Source organism: Homo sapiens, chromosome 19 (genome assembly GCF_000001405.40).
Source record: "Homo sapiens chromosome 19, GRCh38.p14 Primary Assembly".
Taxonomy (NCBI): domain Eukaryota; kingdom Metazoa; phylum Chordata; class Mammalia; order Primates; family Hominidae; genus Homo; species Homo sapiens.
The window spans coordinates 37,744,110-37,770,752 of NC_000019.10; the positions used below are offsets into that span (position 1 = coordinate 37,744,110).

The 26,643-nt window shown below is 40.1% G+C and overlaps 1 protein-coding gene across 5 annotated transcripts in view; it reads right to left on the reverse strand.

The window, feature by feature from the left end:
* ZNF573 (zinc finger protein 573) overlaps positions 1-26,643 on the reverse strand; it is a 41,285-nt gene that overhangs the window by 5,808 nt on the left and 8,834 nt on the right. For 3 of the 5 annotated variants that reach the window (NM_001172692.2, NM_001172691.2, NM_001172690.2), the window contains one exon: positions 25,896-25,988. In NM_001172692.2, the coding sequence (NP_001166163.1) occupies positions 25,896-25,926 (31 nt within the window). In that variant the 5' untranslated portion in view covers positions 25,927-25,988. Of the gene's footprint in view, positions 1-14,366; positions 14,488-14,937; positions 15,031-25,895; positions 25,989-26,297; positions 26,489-26,643 lie in introns of all 5 variants that reach the window. The other 2 variants (NM_152360.4, NM_001172689.2) reach the window with 2 other exon arrangements.

Below are 26,643 nucleotides of genomic sequence, written 5' to 3' on the forward strand. Positions count from 1 at the left end.
TTTTTTTAGAAGAAAGGAAAAAAAAAAGACTACTGATGTCACACAGATACACCAAAAAGGTATGAAAGGGTTTATAACTCTCATCATGAGGCTTTCTAGAGAGCAGAGCAGCTCCCAAGCAGGTCATAAAACAACTTGAGAGATTAGGAAAAGGAGGCTGGCTTGGAGTTTGCATGGTGGTTAGGGTGTGGTGCTGGGCTGAGTGTTCCTGCTCATGGCATGGGGTTCACATGGTTTGAATGAGAAGGAGGGAGCACCTAGGTTTTTTACCAGCTGGCCCAGAAGTAGACAGAAGGGGAAAAAAAAAGAGGAGTCATCAGCAGTTAAACATCAAAAACAGAGTCAGGGACTGGAGTGGTGGCTCACGCCTATAATCCCAGCACTTTGGGAAGCCGAAGCAGGAGGATCACTCAAGCCCAGGAGTTCAAGACCAGCCTGGGCAACACAATAAGACCTCTTCTTTACAAAAAAAAATTAAAAACTTGGCTGGGCATGGTGGCATGCACTTGTGGTCCCAGATATTCGGGAGGGCAAGGTGGGAGAATTTCTAGAGCCTAGGCGGCCAAAGCTGCAGTGAGCTGTGTTCACGCCACTGCACTCCAGCCCAGGCAACAGAGCAAGACCCTATCTCAAAAAAAAAAAAAAAAGAAAAAAAAAAAGAAAAAAGAAAAAGAAAACACTTTTTTTTTTGAGATGGCATCTCGCTCTGTCTCCTAGGTTGGAGTGCAGTGGTGCGATCTCGGCTCACTCCAAGCTCTGCCTCCCAGGTTCATGCCATTCTCCTGCCTCAGCCTCCCGAGTAGCTGGGACTACAGGCACCCGCCACCACGCCCCGCTAAATTTTTTGTATTTTTAGTAGAGACAGGGTTTCACCATGTTAGCCAGGATGGTCTTGATCTCCTGACCTCGTGATGTGCCCACTTTGGCCTCCCAAAGTGCTGGGATTACAGGCGTGAGCCACCGTGCCCGGCCAGGAAATACTTAAAGAAAAAAAATGCTCTGTCACTCAGGCTGGAGTGCAGTGGTGTGATACTGGCTCACTGCAACCTTTGCCTCTCAGGTTCAAGCAATTCTTGTGCCTCAGCTTCCCGAGTAGCTGGGGCCACAGGCACCCACCACTATGCTTGGCTAATTTTTTTGTATTTTTGGTAGAGATGAGGTTTCGCCATGTTGGCCAGGCTGGTCTCGAACTCCTGGCGCCAAGTGATTTGCTTCTGTCTGCCTCAGCCTCCCAAAGTGTTAGGATTACAGACGTGAGCCACTGCATTCAGCCAAGACTTTAATTTTTTTGGGGGGTGGGGGTGGTAGGATGGAGTCTGGCTCTGTTGCCCAGGCTGGAGTGCAGTGACACGATCTCAGCTCTGCAACCTCTGCCTCCCGGGTTCAACGGATTCTACTGCCTCAGCCTCTGGAGTAGCTGGGATTATAGGTGCTTGCCACTACGCCCAGCTAATTTTTGTATTTTTAGTAGAGACAGGGTTTCACCATGTTGGACAGGCTTATCTGAAACTCCTGAACTCAAATGATCTGCCCGCTTCAGCCTCCCAAAGTGCTGGGATTACAGGCGTGAGCCACCACACTTGGCAAGATTGTAATGTTTTGAAAGCAGTTTTAACCATCTCTATTTTCTAATGAACTATAATGTACATAGAGGATTTCTTAATGTTATAAATATTTCTTTATAAGGGTTATAAATAATTCTGTATTTCTCTATTAACATGGTATGAAATAAAGAAAGCAAATTATCCAAAGTCTGATTAACCAAAGACAATCCAAAGTCTGAGTGGAACATTTAATCAATAAAGATCCAGAACTTCATAGATACAATTCAAATACTGCAGAGCTCAGTTACCTTCCAGTCACACACAGATTGTTCCTAAAAACTGACCATATACTGGGCTATAAAGCAAGTTTCATGTATTTCAAAGGATCAAGATTGTATAGAGTATGTAGTCTGACCACAAGAAAAATTTTATGCTAGAAATCAATACTGCAAAGATAACTAGACAACATATATTTGGTAATTATATACTGCTTGTAGGTAATCAATATACTGAACAAACAGTGCACTGTGATATGATAAAATAACAAACTTTGGAAAATGATGTTTTGACTGAAAATTATAAGGCCATACACTAAAGGAAGTATATACAAACACTACTCAAGTGAGTAAACTTGATGCTCATGGGGGTACAGGTTAACAACTCAGAAATGTGTTACACATACACTGGAGTTGAATAGATACAGAAATAAATGGTGGACGGGGAGAGCCAGTTTTCCTGCTGTCAGGGTAAAAAGTTACATATAAACAAGACAGGAAGATTAGAATACATTTTGTAGTAGTAGATGAGAGTCAGAGACATTAGTATGAACTCATGTTTAGCTTCAGATGCATACAAATGGATAGACAAAAAGACAATTATTAATATATGTAAGCATACATCGGCGAATGTGCATATATCCATTACCCAGACCTTGTTTTTTTTTTGGGACGGAGTCTTGCTCTGTCGCCCAGGCTGGAGTGCAGTGGTGCGATCTTGGCTCACTGCAACCTCTGCCTCCCGAGTTCAAGCGATTATCCTGCCTCAGCCTCCCAAGTAACTGGCATTATGTACAGACCCGCGCCTCCACGCCCAGCTAATTTTTGTATTTTTAGTAGAGACGGGGTTTCACCATGTTGGCCAGGCTGGTCTTAAAAACTCCTGACCTCGTGATCTGCCCGCCTTGGCCTCCCAAAGTGCTGGGATTACAGGCGTGAGCCACCGTGCCCAGCTGACCTTGGTTTTTAAATCCCATTCTCCACTAAAAGGAATCACACTCCTGGGAGAAACAGCTGATTCCAGGACCACGGGAGGGAGAAAACAAAATGAACCTGAAGGTAGTACCAGGAAAGAAGTCCTCAAAAAACAGAAGGATCAGGGTATTAAATGAACATAGGAACCAAGCTAAAAGAGCTATCAATGTCTGAAGTTGAAACGGTATGGGTGGCAAAAGAAGTAATGTAATATTTGATTCTACCTTGAAGTATAAAACAAATATAAATGAGTCTACACTGATATGAGAAGAAACAAATATGTCTTATAGAAGAATTCTGTCTGAAGTTGAAACGGTATGGGTGGCAAAAGAAGTAATGTAATATTTGATTCTACCTTGAAGTATAAAACAAATATAAATGAGTCTACACTGATATGAGAAGAAACAAATATGTCTTATAGAAGAATTCTATCTGAAGTTGAAACGGTATGGGTGGCAAAAGAAGTAATGTAATATTTGATTCTACCTTGAAGTATAAAACAAATATAAATGAGTCTACACTGATATGAGAAGAAACAAATATGTCTTATAGAAGAATTCTAGATATTAAACTCTATGGAATGTAAAGCTTAATTTCCACTTCTATGTACCTGCTCCCAGGGTGGGCTAGACTTAACAAGTTGTTTCTAAAGAGTAGAGAATGGAAAAGGAAAAAATAGTACATTTGGAGTGAAGAAACCTGGCAGACACTACTTTAGCCAAATGATAAAGGTTAATATCACCAGTGATGTCATGTACCCCTGATGTAATGTGATGAAAAGCATACTTCACCTCTCTTACAGTCTTTCTTTTTTTTTTTGAGATGGAGTCTCACTCTGTGGCCCAAGCTGGTCGGCTCACTGCAAACTCTGCCTCCCAGATTCACGCCATTCTCCTGCCTCAGCCTCCAAGTAGCTGGGACTACAGGCGCCTGACACCATGCCCGGCTATTTTTTTGTATTTTTAGTAGAGACGGGGTTTCACCGTGTTATCCAGGATGGTCTCGATCTCCTGACCTCGTGATCCACCTGCCTCGGCCTCCCAAAGTGCTGGGATTACAGGCATGAGCCACCGCGCCCGGCTGTTACAGTCTTTCTAAAAACTACTACTTCCAGCCTAATTACAAAAAAACAACAGACTTGGATTGGGAGAACACTACTGGCATGGTCTGTCAAGACAGTCAAAGTCATGAAAAACAAAGAAAAGCAGAAAAAACTGTCACAGAACAGAAGAGACTGGAAGATAAGACAAATGTATACAATGTGGTACCCCTAACTGGATGCATCTTGGAACAGAAATATGAGCTATATGGAAAAACTGGTGAAATCCCAATGGAGAGTCTCATGTCAGTTTCCTAGTTTTGACAAACATACTTTATGTAAGATGTTAACAATGGTGGAAAGTGGGAGAGATGTATACAGGAAATCTCTGTATTATCTTTGTAAATCTGTAAATTTTGTAAATCTAAAATTATTCTAAAGTTAAAAAGTTATTTTAAAAAAAGTTAATTACCAGTGGTCTTTGTTTGGTTGGTGGAGAAAAGAAAACAAACAAAAACGATCATTACGCACTACTTCTGCAATATTCTTGGCAAAAAATGTTTAATCTTACTCTAATCATGAGGGGAAACCATCAAACCTATAAATCTGACATTCCACAAGAAAACTGGAGTAGACACTTCAAAAAAGCCAAACCCAAAGGGGAAAATGTAGTAAGGTAACACCAAGATAAAAAGCCTAAGACCTGGCTGGGCATGGTGGCTCATGCCTTAACCCCAGCACTTTGGGAGGCCAAGGCAGGCGGATCACAAGTTCAGGAATTCGAGACCAGCCTGGCCAATATGGTGAAACCCCATCTCTACTAAAAACACAAAAATTAGCCAGGCGTGGTGGCGGGCGCCTGTAGTCCCAGCTAACTCGGAGGCTGAGGCAGGAGAATCGCTTGAACCCAGGAGGCAGAGGTTGCAGTGAGCCGAGATAGCACCACTGCATTCCAGCCTGGGCGACAGAGCAAGACTTGGTCTCAAAAAAAAAAAAAAAAAAAAAAGCCTAAGACCTAAATGCAATGTATGAATACACAATGGATCCTGGAAACATTTTATAAATGACATTTTTAGAAACAGCATAACAAATGTAAGTATAGACTCTATAGTAGATAAGACTACATTACTATTATAATAATATTGTGACTTTGAAGGAGAATGTCTTTATTCTTAGGAGATGTACATAGTTAAGAGGTGAAATTTAATGACAACTGCTACTTACCATCAAGTGAGCCAAGAAGAAAGGTGCATATATACAGAGAAAAAGTAAGGCAAAATGTTAATAACCAAAGATGAATCTATGTGAAAGGTAATTAACTGTATATATATTATATATTATACATTATACACATACACACACATACATATATACACAAATATATATTTTTAAAATATTCTCCCTTGGCTTGATGATTTTTAAAATAAAAAGCTGGGGAAAGGAAACAGCAACCCAGAATTTAAGGAGATATTACCTAAATTCCCATATAAAATTATTTTTAACCAAATAATAGTAGGTTTATATCCATTTATATTTGATAGCATGAAAGAAGAAAAAACAATTTATAAAGCAGATGTAAATACATATGAGAAAAGGAGAAAACTTGAAAATTGGTGACCTATATATTCATCACAAGAAGCTGGAAAATGCAACAAATAAACAAAAATAAGATATAAAAGTCCAGTAATTTTAAAAAATGGAGTTCACAAATACCACAGAAGAGCCAAAACGGCAGATATTTTATTTCAAACTAATGTTACTGATGCAATTCTCTCAACACTGATGAAGAAAAAAGTAAATGCTACAATATCCAACCTAGGAGTGCTACCAGGTACCTCAGCTATAGCTCTCCACACTGCACAAACACAGTAAGATGGCATTAGGATAAAAACATGTTACTAACTTGCTTGAAATGCATAAAACTCTAAAAAGTAGCCACTGCAAAATCAACACACAGAAAACTTGGACAATTCTATAAGCATTATGTAATTTGCATAAGTTTTTAAAAAGCACAATGGAAACTGAAGTTTCAGATTTTTTTTTCTGGAGTGTTTCTTCAGACATTCTAAGAGGGGGTAAAAGGGTACATTCCCTCAACACATGTATGAAGCTAATGAAACACATCCAACATTATTTTTTTTTAATTTTTTTTTTTTTTGAGATGGAGTCTCCCTTTGTTGCCCAGGCTGGGGTGCAGTGGCACGATCTCGGCTCACCACAACCTCCGCCTCCTGGGTTCAAGCAATTCTCCTGCCTCAATCTCCTGAGTAGCTGAGGCTACAGGCCTGCGCCACCATGCCTCACTAATTTTTCTACTTTTAGTAGAGACAGGGTTTCACCATGTTAGCCAGACTGGGTCACAAACTCCTGACCGCAAGTGATCTGCCGGCCTAGGCCTCCCAAAGTGCTGGGATTACAGGCATGAGCCACTGCGCCCAGCCATCCAACGTTAGGAAGGATAATGAAAAACAAAATTGCAATCCAATCCCACTCATGAAACCTAAAGAAAACATTAAAAGTTCAGATATAATTGATAAGAGATAAAATATCAACACATGATGACCAAATTGGAGTCCAGCATGCAAGGTTAGTCAAGTACTAGAATTCAACATAGTACAGAATAATGGAGGAAAAAAATCGTATGAATTTTGTTAATACATGCAGAAAGAATGATTCCTAAGAAAAATTTTAGCAATTGTATAAAAAAGCAAACCTCCTCCATGTGAAAGAGTATTTATATAAATTGTTAAAAAACATACCTTAGCCAGACACGGAGGCTCACACCTGTAATCCCAGCACTTTGGGACTCTGAGGCAGGAGAATTACAGCAGTGAGCCGAGATCACACTACTGTACTCCAACCCCAGATGACAGAGCAAGACCCAGTCTCAAAAAAAAAAAAAAAAAGTCAACTGCCTTTTTCTTGTGGAAAATGACAAGCTGAACTAAAATTCATATGTGAATATAGAAGACTCAGAATAGCCAAAACAATCTTGAAAGACAAGAATTCAAGTATCAGTACTCATACTTTGTGACTTCAAAACTTTTTATAATGCTACAGTAAATCAAGCAGTATATAGTACTGTATATAGACAGTATATATACTGTCTATAGTAGTATAGTATGGTATATATACTGTGTATATATACAGTATAGACAGCATATATACTGTGTATATATACAGTATAGACAGCATATATACTGTGTATATATACAGTATAGACAGCATATATACTGTGTATATATACAGTATAGACAGCATATATACTGTGTATATATACAGTATAGACAGCATATATACTGTGTATATATACAGTATAGACAGCATATATACTGTGTATATATACAGTATAGACAGCATATATACTGTGTATATATACAGTATAGACAGCATATATACTGTGTATATATACAGTATAGACAGCATATATACTGTGTATATATACAGTATAGACAGCATATATACTGTGTATATATACAGTATAGACAGCATATATACTGTGTATATATACAGTATAGACAGCATATATACTGTGTATATATACAGTATAGACAGCATATATACTGTGTATATATACAGTATAGACAGCATATATACTGTGTATATATACAGTATAGACAGCATATATACTGTGTATATATACAGTATAGACAGCATATATACTGTGTATATATACAGTATAGACAGCATATATACTGTGTATATATACAGTATAGACAGCATATATACTGTATATAGTACATAGTACCGTATATATACTGTATATAGTACATAGTACCGTATATATACTGTATATAGTACATAGTACCGTATATACTGTATATAGTACATAGTACCGTATATATACTGTATATAGTACATAGTACCGTATATATACTGTATATAGTACATAGTACCGTATATATACTGTATATAGTACATAGTACCGTATATATACTGTATATAGTACATAGTACCGTATATATACTGTATATAGTACATAGTACCGTATATATACTGTATATAGTACATAGTATCGTATATATACTGTATATAGTACATAGTACCGTATATATACTGTATATAGTACATAGTACCGTATATATACTGTATATAGTATATAGTACAGTATATAGACAGAAAGACTATGTGTGTATATATATACACATACACTTACATATATCTCAAATTTATGATTAATTCATTATCAAAAAGGGTGCCAACAAAATTCAAAGGAGTCTCTTTAGCAATAGTGCTAGCACAACTGGATATTCACATGCAAAAGAATGAAGCTGGGCATCTATCTACCCTTTGTATCACATATGAAAATTAACTCAATGTGGATCAAAGACCTAAATGTAAGAGCTAAAACTACTAACTTAGAGGATAACATAGAAGTAAATCGTCATGAACTTGGATTACAAAAGTTTCCTAGACAATAATATCAAAAGCACAGCAACAAAAGAAATAATAGGATGGAATAGAATATTATTCAGCCATAAAAAAAGAATGAGTATTGATACCTCCTATTATATGGATGAAACTCAAAAACATTATGCTAAGTGAAAGAAAGTCATTCGCAAAAGGCCACATGTTGCTTGATTCCTTTTTTATATGCAGAATAAGCAAATCTATCGATATCAAAGGAGATTAATGGTTGCCAGAGGCTGAGAGTGAGAGGATAGGGAATGACTGGCAATGTGTATGAGCTTTCTTTTCTCTTTTTTTCAGAGATGAGGATTTTGCTCTGTTCCCTAGGCTGGAGTACAGTGGCATGATCATGGCTCACTGCAGCCTCAACCTTCAGGGCTCAAGCCATCCTCCCATCTCAGCCTCTTGAGCAGCTGGGACAACAGGCACATGCCACCGTGCCTGGCTAATTTTTGTACTTTTTGTAGAGACAGGATCCTACTATGTTGCCCAAGCTGGTCTCAAACCCCTGGGCTCAAGCAATTCTCCTGTCTCAGCATTCCAAAATGCTGGGATTACAAGTATGAGCCATGGCATTTGAACTGTATAATTTTTGTAAACTTTTGTCTAACATTATTTCAGGCTGGGTGTGGTAACTCATGTCTGTAATCCTAACACTTTGGGACACTGAGGTGGGAGGATTGCTTGAGCCCAGGAGTTCAAGATCAGCTTGTGCCAAAAAGCAAGACCCCGTCTCTACAAAAAAATTTTTAAAAAATCAGCCGGGGTTGGGGCAGGGGGTGTGGCACACATCTGTAGTATATATTTTAGTTATATATTAGTGTACATCTATTCATGCAAAATTGTTATATTTCACAGTAAAATTTTATTATTATTTTAATTTTTGTGGGTACAATGTAGGTGTATATATTTATGGGGTATATGAGATATTTTGATACAGGCATACAATGTGTAATAATCACTTCAGGGTAAATGGAACATCCATCACCTCAAGTATTTATCCTTTGTGCTACAAAAAATCCAATTATATTCTTTTAGTTATTTTAAAATATACAATTAAATTATTATTGACTATAGTCACTTTGTTGCGCTATCAAATACTAGATCTTATTTATCACAGTAAATTTTTTTTTAAAGAGAAAACAGTAGCTATAAAAGACAGGCAGAAGAAGTATATTTGTAAATGGAAATATATGGTATTCAAAATAAAAACAGAAAGAACTGGAGATTATTAACATTTTAAGATATTACTCCAGAAAAGTTTCTGGACATTATCAGCACATGAATTATATATTAAAAAGCCACTATGTATACCAAGGAAAACTAACTAGAATGGTCCATTTAAAGCACATACTATTAGAGTTCTATGACTTCAAAAAACAAAAAAATTTTTATAGTTGCCAGGCAAAAAGATCAAGTCACTTTGAAGGGAGGAAATATCCAGTGGGCATTAGAGTTACACTTAGTGTTACTTAAACTCAGAAAGTAAAGGAGCAATAGGTACGAAGTTCTCAAGAAAAGTAAGATGAATTAAGAATTTGATATCCAAAGTATCTTTCAACTACAAAAATAGCCAATAGTTTAAATATACAAGAACTCTCACAATATATTTCTCCTGATCTCATCTTGGCAGGCTCTTTGGTCATTATCAACAGCCGGGAAATGGAGAACTGGGAACATACAGCGACTACAATGTCAGATACATAAAAGGGAGTAAAAGATAAAAGTCATGTTCCTAGAAAAGTTGGGAGAATGTCTAAAGAAGTAATTCATGTAAAAATGCTGATTTGGGGACAAACATCCATGAATGTTGTGTGGTCAATTTGTATAATATTCCATGGAAAAGACTGTCATTTAAAGCTAGCATATCAAATAATTGAAAAGAATGGCCGGGCACGGTGGCTCACGCCTGTAATCCCAGCACTTTGGGAGGCCGAGGTGGGTGGATCACGAGGTCAGGAATTTAAGACCAGCCTGGCCAAGATGGTAAAACTCTGTCTCTACTAAAAATACAAAAATTAGCCGGGTGCAGTGGCAGGTGCCTATAATCCCAGCTACTACGGAGGCTGAGGCAGGAGAATCGCTTGAACCCGGGGGGCAGAGGTTGCAGTGAGCCAAGATCATGTCACTGCACTCCAGCCTGGGTGATAAAGTGAGACTCCACCTCAAAAAAAAAAAAAAAAAATGAAACCAGAAAGCATAATACAAAAAGAACCAAAAATTGTCATACAATAAATGTAAAAATGTGAAAGTCTCTATTAAATGGCTTTTGCTTGCATTCCAGAAAAAAAATCCATTTCTAGATTTCATTTAAAAAAAAAAAGACTCTAAAATAGAATGATGAGAAAGGGTACAGAAGGCAAAGTTTAAAAAAAGGTATCTTAATCTTGATATCAAAAAATTTTGAATTAAGGGAACAAATTACAAAATAGACCAAATGGCACTCCATAATATTAAACAATGAAATAACAATGAATTTAAAAGTTAGGAACAGCCACACAACATAACACCTACTATCAAATCAATTTTCAAAGAAAAAGAATTAAAAGATTTCTAAAAATAAAAAGTAACTAATTAGAGGTAAAGAATAACAGTCTCAAATTAATAGAATAAATCTATTTTATTTATTTTTTTTGAGACAGAGTCTCGCTCTGTCTCCCAGGCTGGAGTGCAGTGGCTCCATCTCAGCTCACTGCAAGCTCCGCCTCCCGGGTTCACGCCATTCTCCTGCCTCAGCCTCCTGAGTAGCTGGGACTACAGGCCCCTGCCACCACGCCCGGATAATTTTTGTATTTTTAGTAGAGACAGGGTTTCACTGTGTTAGCCAGGATGGTCTCGATCTCCTTACCTCGTGATCCGCCCGCCTCGGCCTCCCAAAGTGCTGGGATTACAGGCGTGAGCCACCGCACCTGGCCCAATGGAATAAATCTAAATAAGCACTGATGAAATCTAATTACAATGCTTATCTCTGATAATAAACTTTATTTCAAGTGGACAAAGAATACTTAAAACATTGACCTCAGAGCATTCATGGAAATCTAACCACATAGAGCGCCAACAATTTGTTGAGTTGACATTTCAACAAGTTCTTGAAGAATTAGGAACACAGACTTTAATCTCTAACAAGAACATAGTACCATTGGAAATTTATAGCAGTATCAGAGAGCAATTTCTATTACATGAAGTAAAATAACTCTATTTTAATTGACCTGAAGCAAGGGGCCAAAATAAACTAAAATTATAACTGTGTAAACATTATATAACTAGATAGAACAGCAAAATCTGTGCTCAAAGCAAAATCTATGGCCTTAAATACTGAAGAGATCAAAAAAGAATGAAAATAAGTGAGTAATTATGACTCACAAATTTCAAAATCAGAAAGAAAATAAATTGATGCAACAGAAGAGGCATTGGTAAAATCAGAGCAAAAATGATTTACTGTATTTAGAAAAATATAAAACAACTGCAAAATGGTTCTTCGCAAAAAAAAAAAAAAAGTTAAATGAGGCAATGCAGTAAGAATAAAAGGCAAATTTCCTAATACATGAAATAAAGAATAACATGAGGAAATTAATCACTTTTATAAACCTTGTAAGAAAAGCCCACTACTTGGGCTCAACCCTGTGCTCTTTCGCTTAGGTTAACACGCTAACCTGTATTATCCCACCACTGACCCTTCAGGGAAGCCTGCAGGGAAAACAGATGTCTGGCTGTCTCCTAATGACTGATACTGTGAAAAGGCTGTTGGCTCCTATCTGCGAAGTGGGCACAGAGTTGTTATATCTCAGTAAACTGATCCTTATTTTACCTAGGATCAATGTCGGCCTACCAACTTCCTTTCTCAGAATAAGAGATCTTTAGATCACTTAATTCAAGGAGATTTCGTGGGCCTGATGCCACTTAAAGAACTTTACTGTTGAAGGGAAATTCTGCCATCTCCTTCTTCCCCCAAACCTCTTCATGTTATGCTTTATGAGGGCTGAAAAATGTTAAGAATTGTACATACGGTTTCAGAAATAGTAGATTAAGATCATGGGATTAAAGCACAGAACTCCTCAACGGAGGTGCATAAAATTGCAGGCATGGTCACTCAAAAGAGAGCTGCTTTAGATGCAATGCTGGTCTAAGGGGGCAGGCTTATGTGCTGTCTTATGGGAAGAATGTTATATCACTAGAGGTCTCTGTGGAATCTTTAATATTACTAATATTAATGACTCAGAAAACAGAGTCGCAATAACATTAGGAAACTTGCAGAATGCTCCCACTTACCTAGTTATAATGGCTCTTTGCATTCGGTAAGGAATCTGTTCTTTTGTTTTAATTTGGCCTCTGTTGGCTCCTGATTTAGGAGACTATAAACTGTGATTGCAATTCTTCCCTAAATACGTTTGTTCAAAAGTGTGATCTCCAGAATAATAAAATGCTACTATATCATTTTATATATATACAATATATAATCTCATATTATGATAAAATAATAAAATGCTACTATACAGTCATATATATAGCAATGCTACTATATATGTTCCATCGAATGAGCCAACAAATTATCTTCCAACAAAAGGAATACAAAAATATGAAATGTATGGAGATTAGAATAACCATGAGGGAAAACTTTTAAAAACACAATGATAACCTCAAACAGCACTGTACATCTGAACTAGTGTTCCCACATAAGTTTATCTTCCATCTCAAGCAGAAGGATGACCAAAAATGGAAAAATGGGGGTTACTGAAAAGTGAAACCAACACAATCCCCTCTTAAGGCCAATTGCTTACTCATCAAGGCTCCAAGTATCTCACCTCTCACTGCCTACCCACACTAAAATTATTATTGTTGTTATTATTATTATTATTATTTTTGAGACAGAGTCTCACTCTGTCGCCCAGGCTAGAGTACAGTCGCATGATCTTGGCTCACTGCGACCTCCACCTCCTGGGTTCAAGCAATTCTCCTGCCTCAGCTTCCCGAGTAGCTGAGACTACAGGCGCCCGCCACCGCGCCCGGCTAATTTTTTGTATTTTTTTGTAGAGACGGGGTTTCACCGTGTTAGCCATGATGGTCTCGATCTCCCGACCTCGTGATCTGCCTGCCTCAGACTCCCAAAGTGCTGGGATTACAGGCGTGAGCTACCGCGCCCGGCCCACACTAAAATTATGATGTCATAGACTCAGCCCCATCCCAATTAGTTCGCTCTGTTTTGCAAAACCTGCCTTAAAAATTACTTTTACACTGTTGGTGGGACTGTAAACTAGTTCAACTACTGTGGAAGACAGTGTGGCGATTCCTCAGGGATCTAAAACTAGAAATACCATTTGACCCAGCCATCCCATTACTGGGTATATACCCAAAGGAATATAAATCATGCTGCTATAAAGACACATGCACATGTATGTTTATTGCGGCACTACTCACAATAGCAAAGACTTGGAACCAACCCAAATGTCCAACAATGATAGACTGGATTAAGAAAATGTGGCACATATATACCATGGAATACTATGCAGTCATAAAAAATGATGAGTTCATGTCCGTTGTAGGGACATGGATGAAGCTGGAAACCATCATTCTCAGCAAACTATCGCAAGGACAAAAAAACCAAACACTGCATATTCTCACTCATAGGTGGGAATTAAACAATGAGAACACTTGGACACAGGAAGGGGAACATCACACACCACACACCGGGGCCTGTTGTGGGGTGGGGGTAGGGGGGAGGGATAGCATTAGGAGATATATCTAATGTAAAGGATGAGTTAATGGGTGCAGCACACCAACATGGCACATGTATACATATGTAACAAACCTCCATGTTGTGCACATGTACCCTAGAACTTAAAGTATAATAAAATATATATATATATATATATATATATATATATATATATATATATATATATATATATATATATAAAATTACCCAGTTGCTACTTTTCTGTGGAGCACGTTTTTTAAAAAAAAAAAGAGGCTGGACGCGGTGGCTCACGCCTGTAATCCCAGCACTTTGGGAGGCAGGGGTGGGTGGATCACCTGAGGTCAGGTGTTCCAGACCAGCCTGGCCAACATGGTGAAACCCCGTCTCTATTAAAAATACAAAAATTAGCCAGGCTTGGTGGCACACACCTGTAATCCCAGCTACTTGGAGGCTGTGGCAGGAGAATTGCTTGAACCTGGGAGGCGGAGGTTGCAGTGAGCTGAGATCGGGCCACTGCACTCCAGCCTGTGCGACAGAGCAAGACTCCATCTAAAAAAAAAAAAAAAAGGAAAAAAAAAATTACCCAGTCTGGTTCTAAAACCTGATAAGTAAGTTTCCTGGTTTCTTATTTTAAGATACTACTGTTACTCTTTCAAGAGGTTGTTCTCCCTTTTTTGCAATAAATCTAATAAGCTTAGCTTTGCTAGATGAACAGAAATGTCTGGTAATTCTTGGAAGTCAACAGTATATAGACACCCTAGGAAGTATATGAAAAATATCGTTAAATATAGAAAAATAAATATTTTGAAATATCATAAACATATAACAAGTAAGTCCAACTCAAAATAATACAAAGTACCAGAATAATGAAGATATATCAGGAAGGCTGCTATTTTCAGACAAAAATCAGTTGCTTTCTAATATATCAATAATAACTAATTATAGGCTGATATATCAATATATCTAATATATCAATAATAACTAATTATAGGCTCACACCTGTATTTTCAGCACTTTGGGAAGCCAATGCAGGAGGACTGCTTGAGCCCAGGAGTTAGAGACCAGCTGAGCAACCCAGTGAGACCCCCATCTCTAATAAACAAACAAACAAACAAAATAACGAATCACACAATATAGAAGTATATAATTACATATTATAGAATTATGTGTTATACAAGTTCTTAATCTCTGACAAGAACATAGCACCATTAGAAATTTATAGCAATATCAGAGAACAATTTCTTTTACATCAAGTAAAAGAACTCTATTTTAATTGACCTGAAGTTTAACTGTAACTCAAAAGTTTATAAACATTTAATAAAATACAAACATAGATTTAGTTTTAAGGGTTTTTAAAAACTATCATTTTTCAAATTTCTTTTTAAAAATTATAGTTTAGACCAGGCGCGGTGGCTCACGCCTGTAATCCCAGAACTTTGGGAGGCCGAGGCAGGTGGATCACGAGGTCAGGAGATTGAGACCATCCTAGCTAATACAGTGAAACCCTGTTTCTACTAAAAATACAAAAAAATTAGCCAGGCGTGATGGTGGGCACCTGTAGTCCCAGCTACTCGGGAGGCTGAGGCAGGAAAATGGCGTGAACCCGGGAGGCGGAGCTTGCAGTGAGCCAAGATCGCGCCACTGCACTCCAGCCTGGGCAACACAGCGAGACTCTGTCTCAAAAAATAAATAAATAAATAAATAAATAAAAATGAAAATAAAAATTATAGTTTAAGTTAGAGTGTAGAACTTACGTTGTTGGTTTCTTTACCCTAATTTAATAATGGCGTATCAACCTTCACTCGTCTTTGTTCATTTTCACTGCAACTGGATAAATGATTAGATATTACTGCCAGTGTGGCAATTCCTTTAGTATATGTAAAATTTGGACAAGATGAAATGGAGAAGATTATTTTTCTCAGCTTCAGCAATAAGAAATGCAAACGATAAAGACTGACATTGTTCACATACATGATTTGGAGTTTTAAGATTTGTATAAAGCATGTTCTGGTGTTGCAGCTTCAAAAGAACAGGAAAATACTCCAGAGTGATTGGCCACATTGCCACACATACGTACATAGCTGCCAGTTCAATGAGTTAAGAGGGCCTAGCACGAAGAGGGTCCACGAGCAATTACCATACCTAAGCCTAGATCTGGATTTCTAAATGGCGTTCCCAATAAAAGGAACTGGTGCTCCTTACAGAAGTGGCTGATTCCAGGGCTATGGCAAAGAAAATATAAGATAATCCTAGATTAACAACTTGTAGTACCAGAAAATAAGAAATGCTCACCAAAGGTGAGCAGGTTGAAAAGGCACAGATGCCAACTTGAAAGAGTTCCCAATGGCCAAAGCAGAAGACAAATAACTAAGGATAGTATAGGATTATAACTCATGGAATAAAATAAACATCTATGAGTCCATATTGATATAAATAATTGAATAAATAGAGGAAAAAGGGAGTATTCCTTCTTACAGAAGAATTCCAGCTAATGGGCCAGGTGCGGTGGCTCAAGCCTGTAATCCCAGCACTTTGGGAGGCCGCGGCGGGCAGATCACAAGGTCAGGAGTTCGAGACCAGCCTGACCAACATGGTGAAACCCCGTCTCTACTAAAAATACAAAAATTAGCCAGGCATGGTGGTGCATGCCTATAATTCCAGCTACTCAGGAGGCTGAGGCAGAAGAATCACTTGAACCTGGGAGGCGGAGGTTGTAGTGAGCTGAGATCGCGCCATTGCACTCCAGCCTGGGCAACAGAGTAAGAGTCTGTCTGAAGAAAAAAAAAAAAATGTTTCCAGCTAATAAATGTAGGAGGTTAATGCAAAATCATCAGTAGGCAAATGTTGCATTAAAGATGTGTACAAGCAGGCCGGGCGCAGTGGCTCACGCCTGTAATCCCAGCACTTTGGGAGGCTGAGGCAGGTAGATGACCTGAGGTCAGGGGCTCAAGACCAGCCTGGTCAACATGGTGAAAACCCATCTCTACAAAAACTACAAAAATTAGCTGGGGGTGGTGGCACAAGCCTGTAATCCCAGCTACAGCGCCTGTAATCCCAGCCTGAGCCTGGGAGGCGGAGGTGGCAGTGAGCCAAGACAGCACCACTGCACCTGCACTCTAGCCTGGGTGACAAAGTGAGGCTCTGTCTCAAAAAGGAAAAAAAAAGAACTGGTATAAGCAAAATCTACTGTTGGAAGCTAAAATCTGTGGTGGGGATCAGGGGGTGTAAAAGTTGGAGGAGAAATAGGATATCTGTATTGTTTTCCTGGGACTCACAAAATAATACCACAAAATGAAGTCCGCAAAGCATCCTCAGAAGCAAAAGTTTTTTCTCGGACCTTCTCTTGCCCTCCTGTCTCTCAGTCCCATTCTCCCCCTAGGCTAACCATAAAGACTAGAAGCCCTCTTCCCCAAGGCAAGTCATGGAAACCAGAACCCCTTGTCCCCAGAGCTACTCATAAAACCTAAAAATATTACTCTAACTTTCCCCTGCCTTTTTGGGTAAAAACTGGCCATAAAAAATTCCCTGGCCTACTTTGTTTGACTGTTGGTCATAAGACCCCCATTCCAGAGAGTGTCCCCCATTCCGGAAGGAAGGAATACGTGTTCTGAGAGGCCAAGAAGAACCTAGACAGACAGGCCTTGCTGGGTTTCCCTACTCAGGCTATTAGCATTAGATCACACCCTTTTTGCCCAATCCTGTTTCTACATAGCTGTCCATACTTTGTTAAACCTAAGCATAAAAATAGGTAATTTCCCCTGTACCTTTGGATCTTCTTTCTAAAGGCTCCTGTGTCATGAAAAAGTATGATTAGATCAATTTGTATGCCTTTTCTTCTCAATCTGCCTTTTGTCAGTGATTTTCAGTGAAACTTCAGAGGGTGAAAAAGAAGTTTTTCCTTGGCCCGGACAGATACAATTATGAAAAGCATCTCAAACAAGTTATATCATATTAGCATTGCCTAAGGCACAAATTCTTATTTCACCAAATTATAATATTAGCATTGCCAGTGGAACAAACTATTATTGTCTCCTCATGTGATACAATGGGAAGAATAGAACATCACCTGGGGGCAATTTTTCAAAATATGTTGGGCTTGAATTTAATCATAAGGAAGTGATAATACATTGCAGATTGTAGACATTCTAAAAAGAAATCAAGTGGACTGGACTTTGCAAAGATGTCAATTTCATGAAGGAAGATGCTCTGAATTAAAGGATATTAAATAGATTTGGTGAGTAAGTATGACAGATGTTCCTTCAGTTGATCCTAGATTTTAAAATTTATAAAAGGACATTACTGGGATAATTGGGAGAAATTTGGATGTGGACTGTATATTTGATAATATTCTTAGAGAATTGTGAAATCACTTGGGTAATGTGGGCAAAGGGTTAACAAAACATTTTCTAATGTTCTGTAATTAAACATTAAACAGAATGGGAATCCCATTCTGCATGAGGATGTACTCTTAGGCTAACTCTCCAATGCTGCTTCCCTAAAAACAGAATGTGTCAACTATGTTAATAAGTTTCATTATTTATGGTAACAATGACCCTGATTGGCAAGTTGCACCTCGGACTGTGGACTAGGGGCTAGATGAAGAGAACACCATATTTAGGGTTTCTTTGACTACATTTCTTTTTAAAAGAGCATATCCTTGAAAGACCCTGGAAACGATGACTAAAGAATCCTCACACCAGATATTGTACCAACCTTTGGAGCCAGTCTTTTTTTTTTTTTTTGAGAAGGAGTCTCATTCTGTCACCAAGGCTGGAGTGCAGTGGTGCGATCTCGGCTCACTGCAACCTCCGACTCCCTGGTTCAAGTGATTCTCCTGCCTCAGCCTCCTGAGTAGCTGGGATTACAGGCATGCACCACCACACCCGGCTAATTTTTTATGTTTTTGGTAGAGACAGGGTTTCACCATGTTGAACAGGCTGGTCTCGAACTCCTGACCTCAAGCGATCCACCTGCCTTGGCCTCCCAAAGTGCTGGGATTACAGGCATGAGCCACCGCGCCCAGCCAAACCAGTCTTCTTAAGTCAGGGGAGGCCCACACTCCTGCCGTGTGGATCTCATTTCCTAGCACTTGAGCTCTAGCACCTGTGGAAAAGAGAGCTCCTGGAAGGCTGTCTCATATGCATGAATCACTGCAGCCATGCCACAGGGTGCTGAGCACCAAATACCCAAGAACAACTATAGTTATATATATATATATTATAAATATATACTTAGGTTAAGAGTAAATATCAGGGCCAGTTACCGGGGCTCAAGAGTGTAATCCCAGCACTTTGGGAGGCCGTGGTGGGCAGATCACTTGAGGTCAGGAGTTCGAGACCACCCTTTGTATTTTGTAAAAATACAAAAATTAGCCAGGCATGGTGGCACACACTTGTAATCCCAGCTACTTGGGAGGCTGAGGCAGGAAGATCGCTTGAAACCAGAAGGCAGAGGTTGCAGTGAGCCAAGATCCATCACTGTACTCCAGCCTGGGCGACAGAGTGAGACTGTCTCAAAAAAAACAAAACAAAACAAAAAAAACAGAGTAAATATCAGTCATAAGGGAGAAAGCATATGATGCAATGACTATATATTTCATAATATGATTACAGTGAAACTAAAAATTGGGAGGAGACTGGGCATACTAAAAAACTGTTTTCAGTAATCATTTAGGTAGTAAAGCTGTTACTAATGTTCTAAGAATGTTTTATGTGTCATAAAGAATAAAGGAAATGACTGGGCATGGTGGCTCATGCCTGTAATCCCAACACTTTGGGAGGCCAAGGTGGGCAGGTCACCTGAGTTTGGGAGTTCAAGACAAGCCTGACCAACATGGAGAAACCCCATCTCTACTAAAAATACAAAATTAGCCGGGCATGGTACCGCATGCCTGTAATCTCAGATACTCTGGAGGCTGAGGCAGGAGACTCGCTTGAACCCAGGAGGCAGAGGTTGCGATGAGCCAAGATCGCACCTTTTCACTCCAGCCAGGGCGACAAGAGCGAAACTCTGCCTCAAAAAAAAAAAAAAAAAAATAGAATAAAGGAAATGAATACTTGCATGGTATTTTAATTTTATCATCACTGGAGTATTGGAGAATTGGTACTAAGGAATAAGAGATACAGATCAAAGACAGAAAATTTCAATTAAACACCATTTAGTTCTAAGTTTGGCCAGGAAGTTGCCATATAAACTCATTAGGTAATTTATTTTTATGTAAATATGTAAACACATACATATATGTATACTTAGAGTTTTTTTTTGTTTTTTTTTTTTGTTGTTTTTTTTTCTTAAGACGGAGTGTCGCTCTGTCACCAGGCTGGAGTGCAGTGGCCCGATCTCGGCTCACTGCAACCTCCATCTCCCGGATTCAAGCAATTCTCCTGTCTCAGCCTCCCTAGTAGCTGGGACTACAGACCAGTGCCACCACGCCCAGCTAATTTTTGTACTTTTAATAGAGACGGGGTTTCACCATGTTGGCCAGAATGGTCTCGATCTCTTGACCTCGTGATCTGCCCGCCTTGGCCTCCCAAAGTGCTGGCATTACAGGCATGAGTCACTTTTTTTTTTTTTTGAGACGGTGTCTCGCTCTTTCACCCAGGCTGGACTGCAGTGGTGCTATCTTGGCTCACTGCAAGCTCCACCTCCCGGGTTCACACCATTCTCCTGCCTCAGCCTCCCGAGTAGCTGGGACTACAGGTGCCCGCCACCACGCCCGACAAACTTTTTGTATTTTTTGTAGAGACGGGGTTTCACTGTGTTAGCCAGGATGGTCTCGATCTCCTGACCTCGTGATCCGTCTGCCTTGGCCTCCGAAAGTGCTCAGATTACAGGCATGAGCCACTGTGCCCGGCCTTTTTTTTTTTTTTTTTTTTGAGACGGAGTTTCACTCTTGTCGCCTAGGCTGGAGTGCAGTGGCATGATCTCTGTTCACTGCAACCTCTGCCTCCTGGATTCAAGTGATTCTCCTGCATCAGCCTCCCCAGTAGCTGGAATTACAGGTAGCCGCCACAATGCCTGGCTAATTTTTGTATTTTTAGTAGAGATGGCGTTTCACCATGTTGGCCAGGCTGGTCTTGAACTCCTGACCTCAGGCTGGCCTCCCAAAGTGCTGGGATTACAGGCGTGAGCCACCACACCCAGTCACTTACAGATTTTTCTATCTTTAACTGGTAAAAAGCCTATAACAATCTTCAACCAAGAAAAATGGGCACTTCTAGAGGCTAGACTGTGGCCTTAAAATACCATTTCCCACTAAAAGAACCCAATAGTTCACAAACTTATGGCTGACTAAAGGCTTGGTACAGGAAACGTACAAGATAAGCCTGCAACACTTTGTCATATCAGATGGGAGAAGGCTGGCAATAAAATAACCGTCTAAATCTGGGAGTGGTGGCTCATGACTGTAATCCCAGCACTTTGGGAGGCCGAGGCAGGCGGATCACGGGAGGTCGGGAGTTCGAGACCAGCCTGACCAACATGGAGAAACCCCATCTCTACTAAAAGCACAAAATTAGCTGGGTGTGGTGGCACGTGCCTGTAATCCCAGCTACTCGGGAGGCTGAAGCAGGAGAATCGCTTGAACCTGGGAGACGGAGGTTGCAGTGAGCTGAGATTGTGCCATTGCACTCCAGCCTGGGCAACAAGAGCAAAACTCCGTCTCAAAAACAAAAACAAAAACTGTCTAGTTACCTATGAAGGATCCTAGGGGCCAGGCACGGTGGCTCATGTCTGTAATCCTAACATTTTGGGAAGCCGAGTCCGGTAGATCATCTGAGGTCAGGAGTTTGAGACCAGCCTGGCCGACATGGCAAAACCCTCCTCTCTACTAAAAATATAAAAATTAGCCGAGCATGGTGGTGCATGCCTGTAATCCCAGCTACTTGGGAGGCTGAGGCAGGAGAATGGCTTGAACCTGGGAGGTGGAGGTTGCAATGAGCCAAGATCACACCATTGCATTTCAGCCTGGGCGACAAGAGCAAAACTCCATCTCAAAAAAAAAAGAAAAGAGAAAAGACCAAATATTGATCAGCCTTTATTTTCCAAATGGTATCAGTAGTTACCAAATAGTAGGTGATGTAAAAAATTGTTTATATTTGTACATAATAAATGAAAAATAAATGTTAGAATTAGAATATGACCATTTTGGAATGTCTGATGAATTAATACATCCAGGCATTGAGCATAAATGACTGCTAAAAATCACAGAGAGACAACCAGAAGGTTTATGCTGAGAACCTAAACCATTCACTCCCACACTCAGCCTTGAAACAGAGAAGTGGACCTACCAATCCCCCTACAGGTAGCTTACTCTCTCCATAAACACATCCCACTGTTTTCCTCAGCACAATTTTACTGTTCTGGAAGTTTCTTGCAAAGGCAAATGGCTTCATTGTTCATTACTGGAAGTTCCTGAAAGATCCATCAACTCTTAAATGGCAAACATCAACAGTTTGTACTCTAGAAAATTTTCAATTCCTAACCTCAAAATTCTAACCTAGCTGTTTCCACTAATTCTCCACTGTGGTGTCTTCATCTTTACCTAATCCTAATCAAGTCCCCGCATGAAGACCAGCCTTAAACCAAACTTTTAATTCTCAGTAAAAGCCATCCTTGCCCTTCTGCCTCTGAGATACTATATAAAGCTCTTCAGAGGTGGTGTTTTCCTTTAACACAGTAAACCATAAGCCCAGCTCTGTCTGGTATGAGGGGAGCAGGAAAAGTGCCAACATATGATGCATACAATACTGCCCAGGAAGTTGTCTTGCAATAAAATAAATAAAATAAACTGAATCAAAATCGATTAAGTGTAACAGTGAAATAAATCTAGCATAGCTGACTCCATCTTACTTCTAACCTCACAAGCTAATGGCGTTTGCTCATAACTGCACGCTGGCCAAGTTAACTATGGGAGTATTTAATTTATACTATAACTTTAAAGCAAGGATAATAATCCCTTTCCAAAACTATTAATAATTCTCAAGGAGATAGGGAGGGTGTACATACAAGTAACAACGTTATGTTAAAGATTTATAGGAGCATTGTGACCTGACCGAGGACAACGTTGTGCAACCTTCTCGGACCCCTGCTGACACCCAGATATCTGTAGTCGCCAGTCACCTCCTGACCTCAACCTCCTCCTAGTTCCCCCTTCGCCAACATAAAAAACGGCATGAGATTCATTCCTTTTTTTTTTTTTGAGACGGAGTCTCGCTCTGTCACCCAGGCTGGAGTGCAGTGGCGCGATCTCGGCAAACTGCAAGCTCCGCCTCTCGGGTTCACGCTCTTCTCCTGCCTCAGCCTCCTGAGTAGCTGGGACTACAGGCGCCCGCCACCACGCCCACCTAATTTTTTGTATTTTTTTTTTAGTAGAGACGGGGTTTCGCCGTTTTAGCCAGGATGGTCTCGATCTGCTGACTTTGTGATCTGCCCGCCTCGGCCTCCCAAAGTGCTGGGATTACAGGCGTGAGCCACCATGCCCGGCAGAGATTCATGCCTTTTAAGATGGTTCTTTAGGACATTAGCCTGCCATCTTCTCGCTTTGCTGGCTCTCTGAAATAAAGTTCCTTGCCCTAACACCTTACCTCTTGACTTACTGGCTGTTGTGCAGTGAGCAGTATAAGCTCTGGACTCAGATACATAAGCCTCTTGACCCCTCTACTTATTTAGAGGATATAGAGGGGTCAGAGAACATATTTAAGCAAATCTCAGGGATGGCATCAGCAAAAAATAGAATGGAAGATGTTTCTTCAGCAAATAAGGGGTTAAGAACACAAAGAAAGATGAAGACAAAACTTAGAGACTTGCGAAAACTTAAAAAGACTTGAAATTGGAGAAAAAATAAAAGGAAGGAACTTATTACCATTAAAATCAGAATAGTGGTTACACTTAGCAGGAGGAAGGAGATTGTGACTGGTTGCAGACATGTGGAGGACTTCAGAATCAACTAGAAACTCTCTCCTTGTTTAGAAATACTGCTTGGAGGGTATAAAATAATCTTGTATGTCATTATTATAACCTTTCTGTAACTCTAAAATTATATTAAAATAAAAAAAAATTTTTAAGTTTTAACTCCTGACACGGCTGTGGTGACATGATTGTTTAACTTGTAAGACTCAGTAAGCTACTCATGTGTTATATGTTGTTCTCTGAATCTGTCTAATGTTTTTAAAAATGCCTTGAAAACAATTACATCATTGGTTCTAATCCTTCTTATTCCCAAAAATTCAAATTCAACAATACCTCATGTGATCTGACTACGCCTAACAATGTGACCTCATTTCTCGTCACTCTCCTCTTAGGATCTCTATTCTGGTCTACTTTGGTGCTCCTCAAACTCACATAGCTCTCTCTATTACCCTCCCTTGACTATCCATACTCCTTCCCTCCAATGCTTCAGCCATCTCCTTAGCCTTCTAAGCTCTTTATTCAGCTTGGAATATTCTTCCCCAGATAAACACATGGCTTGTGACCTTATACCATGTCTCTTTCCAAATACTACTGCCCCAAAGAAGCTGTCCCCAGCCATCTCATCCAAAATGGCCTAACCTCTGCTTACTTTCTACCATTGCTTATTCCACTGCCTAATAGTAGTTGTTTGCCTGCTTATTTTATTTTATTTATTTATTTATTTTTTGAGATGGAGTCTCTCTCAGTCGCCCAGGCTGGAGTGCAGTGGCGCAATCTCAGCTCACGGCAAGCTCCGCCTCCCGGGTTCATGCCATTCTCCTGCCTCAGCCTCCTGAGTAGCTGGGACTACAGGCGCCCGCCACTATGCCCTGTTAATTTTTTTGTATTTTTAGTAGAGACGGGGTTTCACCGTGTTAGCCAGGATGGTCTCGATCTCCTGACCTCGTGATCCACCCATCTCGGCCTCCCAAAGTGCTGGGATTACAGGCGTGAGCCGCTGCGCCCGGCCTATTTTATTTTATTTTTGAGACAGAGTCTTACTCTGTCGCTCAGGCTGGAGTGCAATGGCGTGATCTCGGCTCACTGCAACCTCTGCCACCTGGGTTCAAGCGATTCTCCTGCCTCAGCCTCCCAAATAGCTGGGATTACAGGCACCTGCCACCATGCCTGGCTAATTTTTGTATTTTAAGTAGAGACGGGGTTTCACCATTCAAGACCGGCCAGGCTGGTCTTGAACTCCTGACCTCCTGAGCCACCCACCTTGGCCTCTCAAAGTGTTGGGATTACAGGCATGAGCCACTGCGCCCAGCCTACCTGTTTATTTTTATGTGTTCTTTAGTACAATGTAAATTTCCATGAGGATAAGGACCTTACATGTCTTCCTCATGATCACTACATTGATATGTGTGTTGTGTGTGTGTGCAAAAGGGGAGCTGGAAAAACAGTTGAGTCCAAAATACAGGTAAAATATTGCACTAAAGAAAAACGAGGCTGGGTGTAGTGGCTCACAACTGTAATCCCAGCATTTTGGGAGGCTGAGGCAGGCAGATCACGAGGTCAGGAGTTCAAGACCAGCCTGGCCAACATGGTGAAACCGTGTCTCTACTAAAAATACAAAAATTAGCTGGGCACGGTGGCACACGCCTGTAATTCCAGCTACTCGGGAGGCTGAGGCAGGAGAATCACCTGAACCCAGGAGGTGGAGGTTGCAATAAGCGGAGATCAAGCCACTGCACTCTGGCCCGGGCGACAGAGCAAGACTCTGTCTCGGAAAAAAAAAAAAAAAAAAAAAAAGAAAAGAAAAAAGAAAGCCCCATCACTGAAAACAGGTTTGAAATATAAAAGAAATAAGGTGATTGGTAAATGGGGTAAAGTTGAAGCTTCTTCCATAGCTTATGCTACGATCTTTATTCCCAACCAGGTTGTAGGCCTTTGCTCCACAAGTCTGGGTGCCTTGGAGGAAGGTTTCACAAACAACACAAAAATGTCTCCTTTCTCTTACCACATGGGCTGTGGCCGGCCCTGATGGTGTCCCCTGCCTTCCTTACCTGTGAACTGTGTTTCTTCCCTCAAAATCATCCAGGGCTCTTTTCCTCGCTCCAGTAAATCAACCACAACTGGTTTAGAAATGGAATGTCCTCCTTATAAGAAAAGAAATGCCACATGGTATAAAAATAAAAACAAAAGTAACAGAAACCTTTGAGCTTTGATTAAATTTACAATGAACTAAGGACTTCAAATAAAAGAGGGGTGAGATGATTGAAGAAATGAAACAGGCACAGTAAAACCTTATTTTAATGTAAACTCATACACGCGTGGTCTCTTAGGAGAAAGTTTAACCTGTGACCTTATAAAATGTCTCTTTCCAAATATTACCACCCCAAAGTAGCTGTGAAGTTCTCTGGAGCCAGAAGGCTGGGGCACAAATTATTCCTCTTAAATCTACCAACCTTGTGACTTTGGCCATGTGACTTCAACTCATTATTCCAATTTGGCAAATAAACTGGACATAATAATACTACTATTGGCTAGGCATGGTGGCTCACGCCTATAATCCCAGCATTTTGGAAGGCCGAGGTGGGAGGATCACTTGAGACCAGGAGTTTGAGACCAACCCGGGCAACAGAGCGAGACCTCATCTCTACAAAAAAAAAAAAAAAAAAAAAAAATTAGGCATGGTGGTGCATCTACAGTCCCAACTACTAAGGAGGCTGAGGCAGGAGGATCACTTGAGCCCAGGAGGTTGAGGCTACAGTGAGCTATGATTGCACTCCAGCCTAAGCAACAGAGCAAGAT